Source organism: Homo sapiens, chromosome 1 (assembly GCF_000001405.40).
Source record: "Homo sapiens chromosome 1, GRCh38.p14 Primary Assembly".
In the NCBI taxonomy this organism is placed as follows: domain Eukaryota; kingdom Metazoa; phylum Chordata; class Mammalia; order Primates; family Hominidae; genus Homo; species Homo sapiens.
Genome location: NC_000001.11, coordinates 70,521,188 through 70,530,430, shown reverse-complemented (window position 1 = coordinate 70,530,430; position 9,243 = coordinate 70,521,188). Strand labels below are relative to the sequence as shown.

General features: G+C 40.0%; 1 annotated feature.

Moving 5' to 3' along the window:
- Nucleotides 1,246-1,747: an enhancer, noted in NCBI's record as "NANOG hESC enhancer chr1:70994367-70994868 (GRCh37/hg19 assembly coordinates)". NCBI's record gives its function as "activates a minimal SCP1, AML or CMV promoter by ChIP-STARR-seq in naive H9 embryonic stem cells {active_cell/tissue: H9 hESC(naive)}" and the evidence as "EXISTENCE:reporter gene assay evidence [ECO:0000049][PMID:30033119]".

The following is a 9,243-nucleotide window of genomic DNA, read 5'->3' as shown; positions in this document are numbered from 1 at the left end:
GAGAAGGCTGCCAGCTTCCAGACTACACTTTTTTTTTTTAATAGAGATGATGTTTCACCATGTTGGCCAGGCTGGTATTGAACTCCTGACCTCAGGTGTTCTGCCTGCCTCAGCCTCCCAAAGTGCTGGGATTACAGGTGTGAGCCACCATGCCCGGCCAGTTTTTACACTTTTAAAGCATTCAGAAGAAGGAAAAGAAGGAGGACATAAAGGAGGAGGAGGAAAATGAGGTAAAGTTTATGAGGCCTGCAGAGCCTAAAATTCTATTATCTCGTCCTTTACGGAAACAGTTTATCGATCTAATGATGATAAAAGGCTGGAGAGCGGATATAGGTAATTGGTGTAGGATAGTGAAGGTGCTAACTCAAAGCAAATTGGTTTTGATGGTCTTTATTAACAAGTATAAAGAAAAAATATTCACTAGGTCAATAATTGCATACCAAGTGCCGGACAAAGTGTTTTCTCCAATAACAAAATCTCCTCCAGAAAAATAGCTGTAATTGGAGTTACCAACAGGTTAAGTTTACAGTGATCCAATTTTATTCTCCAAGCTCTGGCTGTCTTCTGAACAGGCTGAAGATACAAATTAAGAGGGGACATGGTATGAATCATCGTCCCTGCATCTGCCAAGTCCTCAAAGGCTCTGATTTCTCTAATCAAGTCAATGCTGTCATAAAACAATTCAGTGAATATAAGTTAGGTGACCAACTCATCCCCGTTTACCTGGGACTTACTCAGTTTTAGCATCTGAAGAACCCCCTCAGTTGTAGACAAACGAGGGTCGTTGCTCACCCTAATATACAGAGTATAAAGGAGTGACTTAGCTGCTTCCAGAGGAGCTGGAGAACTTCAGGGAAAAAATTATAAGCTCAGGATTTTAAATTCCCCACCTAAAGAGAAAGGACCTGAAGCTGTCTATGACTGCTCAAAATGAAAGTTTTGCCTTATACTGGCATTGGATTACAGGTGGCTGCAGATGATAAGTAACTGCTTTGCCATTGCATGCTATAAGCAAGTGTCCTCCTTACCAATGCAAACACAGTTATTACTGCCTATAAATTTAATCTCATCCAAGAACCCATTCCAGATAATCCAGAACCAATTCACAATAACCATCCTTAAGATTTTGTTCTCATGGAACCATTACAAACCTCAACTCCTAGAACCATCAGGGTTCAATTAGAGAATCAGAACCTCCATGAGTGATATAAAGTGGGGAATTTATTAAGGAATTAGACGTTACACAATTCTAAGAGTTGGTGGTGCCGCAGGATACATTCAAAAGCAGAAAACAAAATTGTACCGCTTTAAGAGTAAACTCATTCATTCCAGCTTAAACACAACAATTTAGTTGGTCACGTTCTGCCTTTCTCCCAGAGATGGCATAGAAGTTCCTGAAGAAGGGTCATGGCAAGGAGCAGTGGTGGGAAATGTGGGGTTGGGGGTAAAGGGGAGATAGCCGATCGTCCCTTCATATCCTGGGACCTACACTCTGCTGCCATCTAGTGAGACTATGATCGCACTCAGTGCTCAGAAGACGGTCCACACAAGCATTCACTGAGTTCCTTCCCTTCCCACACATCTCTGGTCTTACGGTCCACACCTTTTTCCTCTATGTGTCTCTCATCAAGAATATGAGACTTTCGCAGGTCCACCAGGACTCTCTGTCTCTCTCTCTCCTAAAAGCTGTGCCCTTCTCAAGGACATGGGAAAAACTGGCAGCTCTTCCATGCCACCCCTCAGGGCAATCAAAATTCCAACAGACCATTTTCCCTTTGACGCTGTATTTTATGGTCCTTCTTTCTTAGCGGCATAGGATCCTCATGATATCATGAAACACCTCCTTGTGTGGTTTCAGGCAGAAATTGATTACAGGACAGATGCTCATACTTCCTGGGATTCTATCCCCCTCATTCAGAGAGCACACAGGGCTCCTCCTCAGAGACTTTCACACATGTTCAGCTCTATCTCTACCTCACCAACCCCTCTCCCTTTTCCAGACCACACAAGGTTTATGGTTTGTGTTTTGTCTTCTTTTTTGTTTGTTTTTGCTAGATTCATGTTTCACAACTTTGGTGGAATATTCTAGCTCTTCTGTACAGATGGAAAAGACTGTATCATGTTACTAACGTGTATGAGCAGGCAAGGCTGGAGCATTCTCTGCAGACATGGTCACGGTGTTGAGGTAGCTGCTAGAGCTCTGCTGACAGACTGGTGTCATATCCTTTGACATTGTGCATGTCAGTCAAGAAGCAAGCTGCCCCAATCTAGGGCTTCTGAGACAAAGTAAATAGTGAAACCAAGACATGAGAGTGCTACTGATAAAAACAAGATTTTATAATACAAAATTGAAAGTTTATACTTTCCACTCCAAGCTTGCCAACACTAGTTGAGAAATCAAAAAATTAACAAATCCTGGCAGGGCCCAATGGCTCACACCTGTAATCCCAGCACTTTGGGAGGCCAAGGCATGAGGATCACACTGTCAATAAAATTTGCTGCAGTAAGGACTGAATCACCAGGCCTACAGTCCTGACACATCCATTGTAATGTTTTCAAGCCCAGCAGAGAAGTCCTCGTTTCTCCTGCTGTATGCGTTTAGCAGGCCAAGTTGCTTCTTGCTAGAAATGTGTGAAAAGAAAAAAGTCTCACTTTATAATAAACTAAGCTCCCTCTTCTTATACAACTGACATATCTTATTATGGGTATTTGATATCCAAACAATGGGAAAAATTAGATGGTCAAATTTTGTTAGAGAAAGAAATAAGCTAAAAACACAACTGAAACATTTCAATTTAACTAGCATAGAAAACTCTACTGCCTTAAAGTTTATTTATCAAATATATCTATCTTAAACCTCCTATGGGAATTACTTCTCAGGTTAAACACAATGCAAATTTCTAACACAAACACAGAAGAAATCCCCATGAAGAAAGATTTCAGCAGAAACAAGCAGACATTGGTACTGTTACTTAACTTGGAGAAAGGACAAGCTGCCAGGTTTAGAGCTAAATAATGTTTGAGGCATCCGATGTTTAAACCTAATATCAACTTTCTTCTTTGTCTGCCAGAGTCAACTATTCCCTTCACTCCCAAAAACTCTTCAGGCCAGTCAAACTCAACATACATGCCTCAGCAACATCCTTCAGGGGGAGATCAAACGAAACAAAACCAAATACTAAACTTTATTATTTTCAGAGAAAAAGCATCCAGGAAGCTTCTCCACCTAGTTCTTTCAGTTTTTGTTGTTAGATCTTGTTGTAGGAGGTGGAAAATGCAATCTCACCTTTGGGATCTAGGTTTCCTCAAGTGCAGAGCAATGTATTTTGTATTCTGATTTTTGAAGTCCTGGTAGAAAGATTAAGAATTAGGGAGATTCATATGAAATATTCACTGCTTTGCATCCCCTTAGATTTTTGTATTCCTTGGTTATTTCTACTTTATTTATTTTTAAAAAGTAATAAAATGTAGTATTCTATGAAACTAACATTAAAGACAGTCAACCACAGAATATCATAAAATTAACTTCCTCTGAAGTGAATCTTTAATTTTTATTGGTTAAAAAGCAGTGCTGAAATACATATGACACATGAGACTCAGATCAGCCTAAAACAGCTCTTCAAGGACCAGGAACTCAGAAGAAGTTTGTAACTCTAAATGAGCAAAAATGAACAATAAATTTCACTTTCATGCTGTTCCTGAGTCTCCGTGCTATTTTAGTCACCTAATTCCCCACACTTGAAATTTAACTCATTAAAGTTCCTGAGTATAAGAACCTGAAAAGCATAATTGTGTTTTTTAAATATTTAATTAATACATATTTCATCATTTTGGTATTTTTATGACCAAATAAGGATCTTTATCTTGCAACAGTTCTGTTTGGTCTACTCTTTTCTTTCTTCAAGAGCACAAGAGTATAGTTTACTTTAAAAAAAAAAAAAGTGGTGGGGGAAGAGGATCATCACAGAGTGAAAACACTAACAAAGAAATACTTTGGGAGGATGGTATAATGGAAGAAAAAATACCTAAGTAGATAGTTTCAATTTGCCATTTTTGTCCTCTTATTTAGTAGAAAAGATCCTCAATCTCCCAAGAATAAGTTTTTGTGTATCAAGCAGATAAACAAAAGAATCCAAAATTTATTATGTAAGAATGATAGCAATAAATTAAAATGCCATCGTGTGTGTTCCCTGTGGCATTATTTTTATGTAGCAGTTGGCTCCTCTGTCTCTGCTAAGTCTCAAAAACAAAACAATCTAGATAATCCTCTTATAAATTATAATATATTTCTGGGAACATAGGAAAATTCTTAGCTATGCTGCAATTGGTGTCACAGTATATATAGTAAGAAAATTATTATATTTTTGTTAACTTCCTGGTAACTGTTGGAATTAAGTCAGGCTTATTTAGAAATCACCCAAAGATATCAAATTATTAAATAACCAATTGAATAACTAACCATAAATTCTAATTTTCTCTAATATTCTGCAAATTTTTTTAAAGAATTAACACCATATTGCTGGGCATCAATGGAAGCACTCTGTAGTGCTTAGGAAAGCACCTGATAGACAGTAGACATTCAGTAAACTATTTTTAGTATTATTATTATTTTTAATACAGACCAAGTCTCGCTCTGTCACCCTGCCTGGAGAGCAGTGGCACAATCACAGCTCGCCATAGCCCAGAAGTCCTGGGCTAAGCAATCTTCCCACCTCAGCCTCCCTAGTAGCTGGAACTACAGGTGTGTGTCACTTTACTCAGCAAGATTTTTTAATTTTTTTGTAGAGATAGAGATCTGGCTTTATTGCCCAGGCTGCTGACAAACTCCTGACCTCAAGCAATCCTCCTGCCTTGGCCTCCCAAACCACTGAGATTACAGGCATGAGCCACTGTGATTGACCAATAAATATTTTTAAGTAAATGAATAATGAAAAAGATATTCCTGACTTTTCTTTGTCATCTGCTTTTATGTAAATCAAAGTTGCATTTTCCCCTGTTCAGGTATAATAGAATACTTGAAATTTTAAAATATTCTGCCTGATTTGAACCATTGGCCCTACCCACAAATAATCTGAATCTTTAAATATAGCCACTGTGATTTGTCCAGATCTGTCACATATTTATTGAACATTGATCATGCAGAAAACAATGCAGGGATGTAATAGCCCCTGCCCCCAAAGAGCTTACAAAATAGAAAAGACAAGTACATTAATAGTTATAAGGAAAGGTATAAACATCAGAAGACAAGAAAATATACAATTGTTAACTGAAAGACAAATTTTAAAGAGAGACATCTGCTGGGTGTGGTGGCTCATGCCTGTAATTTCAGCACTTTGGGAGGCCAAGGTGGGCAGATCACTTGAGGTCAGGAGTTTGAGACCAACCTGGCCAACATGGTGAAACTCTGTCCCTACTAAAAACACAAAAATCAGCCAGGTGTGGTGGCAGGCACCTGTAGTCCCAGCTACTTGGGAAGCTGTGGCAAGAGAATTGCTTGAACTCAGGAGGTGGAGGTTGCAGTGAGCCAAGATTACACCACCGCACTCCAGCCTGGGCAACAGAGCAAGACCCTGTCTCAAAAAAGAATAAAAATAAAAATAAAGAGAGGCATCATATTCAACTGGGAGCTTAGCAAAAGTGCCATAAAAGAGGAGACACTTGAGATAAACATAAAACACGATAACAAGACTTTGACAAATGACATTAGAGAAATAGGGAATTCTAAGCAAAGAGAACACAATATACTCTTTTATGTCTATTCGGGGGATTGCAATTAACCCAATCTCACTGGAGCAAACAGTCAATGTAAGGATGAAATAAATGAGTAGCTTGAAACTTGGTGTTCAACTTGAGCTTGGGAGTCTATACTTACTGTGTAATTAAAAGACATTTAAGGTTTCTTCCAGTCGGGGTTTGAAGAAAGTAGTACATTCAAATGGGATCGATGAGTGGCATTTAATGTGTCCACAAAGGTGTGGACAGAGTAAGTGACACCAACAAGAGACAATGAAAACATTCTGCCAGCAACAGCAGGAAGAGTTACCATCACTGAAGCAGGAAGGAGAAGCAGGAAAGAGGAAGGAAACATTACTGGAAGCCGCAGAGAAAAGCCAGAACTGTAAGAAAGTGGCCCCGCACATGAGGGAAGGCCTTCTGCGGAGGAGCACAGCTAACCTATGGTCAAGCAAGGAGGCAGACAGAGGAATAAATACTCAGCTTAATTCCTGGCTTGCTCCCACCAGTGCCCTGCTAGAGCTCACTATTGGCTGAACGCAACTGGAAGCCAGAAGGCAATGAAGCCAAGGAAGGATGCAGTTTATCTAGGTTCTCCTCCCAGGGGACAGAGCAGGGCAGAGAAAGGTAGGGGGTAGACCTGAAGGGGGAAAAAGAATAAATATTCAGCTCAAGGGTTGTAAGCAAACAAAAGACGTGCCTCTCCTTAGAAAATTGTATCCAACAATAATGGAGAGAATCAAGAGAAGGGTAGATGATAAACCCAATTAAGAATATAATGTGCCGGGCGCGGTGGCTCACGCCTGTAATCCCAGCACTTTGGGAGGCCGAGGCGGGCGGATCATGAGGTCAAGAGATCGAGACCATCCTGGCTAACACAGTGAAACCCTGTCTCTACTAAAAATACAAAAAAATTAGCCAGGCCTGGTGGCGGGCGTCTGTAGTCCCAGCTACTCGGGAGGCTGAGGCAGGAGAATGGCGTGAACCCGGGAGGCGGAGCTTGCAGTGAGCCGAGGTGGCGCCACTGCACTCCAGCCTGGGCGACAGAGCGAGACTCCGTGTAAATAAAAAAAATATATATCTTATATATAATGAAGATGTCTGGTGAAGGTCAGAAATAGGATAATGGCAGAGGAAAGTGAAGTGATCATCTATCTATGGGAAACATCACAGAGATAAATTCAGGGATTTCTAAAGGATTAGATGTAGGAGAAAAAGAACATCAAAGTCCAAAATTTTGAATCTGATTTCTGGAAGAACAAGGCCATGATTAAAATCATAGACAGAGCCAGGCTTGGTCACTCATGCCTGTAATCCCAGAGACTGCAGGCTAAGGCAGAAGGATGGGTTGAGGACAGGAGTTTGAGATCAGCCTGGGCAACTTTTTTACAGATGAATGTCTCTAAAATGCAAAAATGTCATCCAAAATGTAATGCAAAAAGGTCATAGAGGGGGACAAGTGATAAGTATCAAACCCGTTCTAACACAGAGTGAAAACCAAATGACTGTAGTAATTGTAGCTACAAAACAGTCTGCATAGTTGTGATTCTTGAAAGAAACACTGCATAAAGCAAAAAAAAAAAAAAGTAATTTTGCTACGGAAGTAGAAATCAAAGTACATACTAACCAAACCAAGGGGTCAGGGAGGGAGAAAGGAAGAAGTGTCAGTGTCCACAAATAAAACAGCTCAGCTGTGCTGTAGAACTAAACAGACAGATGAAGAGAAAACATCCTGAACAGGTATGTGAGCATACAGAAATTAGTTTATAATAAAGACGCCTTTAAGATTAGGGGGAGAGGCAGGGGGCGGCCACTCTCGCCTGTAATCCCAGTGCTTTGGGAGGCCTAGGTGGGCAGATCACCTGAGGTCAAGAGTTCGAGGCCTGCCTGGCCAACAAGGCAAAACCCTGTCTCTACCAAAAATACAAAAATTAGCCAGGTGTGGTGGCACACGCTTGTAATCCCAGCTACTCAGGAGGCTGAGGCAGGAGAATCGCTTGAACCCGGGAGGCAGAGGTTGCAGTGATCTGAGTTCACACAACTGCACTCTAGCCTGGATGACAGAGGAAACTCTGTCTCCAAAAAAAAATAGGGGGAGAGAATGGATTACTCAGTAAATTGGGAACAATAACTCATCTTTTGGAAAATATTAACATGAGATTTGATAACTGTTAGCGCTATTGACTGGATGTTTGTCCCCTCCCAAATTTTATATGTTGAAACCCTAATCCTCAAAGTGAAGGTATTTGGAGATGGGGTCTTTGGAAAGTAATAAGGTCAGGAGGGTGGAGACCTTATGATGGGATTGGGGGAGAGAATGGATTACTTAATGAATCGGGAACAATTAACTAAACTCTGGGAAATATTAACATGAGATTTTATATCAGTGCCCTTATAAGAAGAGAAACAAGAAAGCATCCTCTCTCTCTGCCCTCTGCCATATGAGGATGCAACAGGAAGAGGACCCTCACCAGACACCATATCTGCCAGCATCTTGATGTTGAACTGTGTAGAATAAATATTCCTTGTTTAAGTCACTCATTGTATGATAATTTGTTATAGCAGTGCAAACTGACCAAGAGAGTTAAGAATGCCTTCATTTGCTAGTAGGAGAAACTTCAGCTAGCAGTTGCTTAAATAAATAAGGGTTTATATGGCTCATCAACAAGAAGTCTGGAGATAGGCAGTTCAGGACTGACAATGGCTCAATGACATCCTCTAAGACCCAGATTGTTTGTCTTCCCACTCCACTGTCAGTACCATGCTGGCGTATGTCCTCATGCCTGTCACCTCAGGATCTAGATGCCTGCTGATATCGTGACCTCGTGACATCAAACCTGTGTCCTAGGCAAGAAGAAAAGGGAAAGGAAAAGGGCAAAATGGACATTCCAATCACACATACACCAAAATTTTAACAGTGGTGGTATCTGGTGACTGGATCATTTTTAGTTTTAGTTTTTTGTGTCATTTAAAATTTTTACAATGATTGTGCATTGAATTTTAAGTCAGAAATAAATTGTGAACCTATTTTCTTTGTGCAGAAAGATTAATTGATCAAGGAAATCATAAATTCCCTCGTAAATCAGTAGGCCTCTATTGCTCTGTGATTTCCAGTATTGTGAATCATCTTAAATTTTATTTTTAGACAGACCACTTACTAGATTTCTTCTTGTATTAATAGAAAATCTGTACAGAAAACTTACTTTTATTTCCAGAACCCCTGGGACACAAAACTATACGTTGTCTCAGCAATAGTGCTGAGTCAATAAGAACTTTAATGCATTTAGGTAAGCTGTGTATTTTCAAGAATCTAACTGAAACTGTTAAAAATCATTCAGCATGATCTTCCCAGAAAGAGAAGATGTGGGGGTGAGAAGAGAAAAATCAGCCAACAAGGGACTTTTTAATACTTATCTCTATTTCCAGATATTGCTAAAATGTTCTGTTCCACTCCCAAAATCTTTCCATTTTTGCCATACAAACATAATCTTCAAGAATCCAATACTAGAG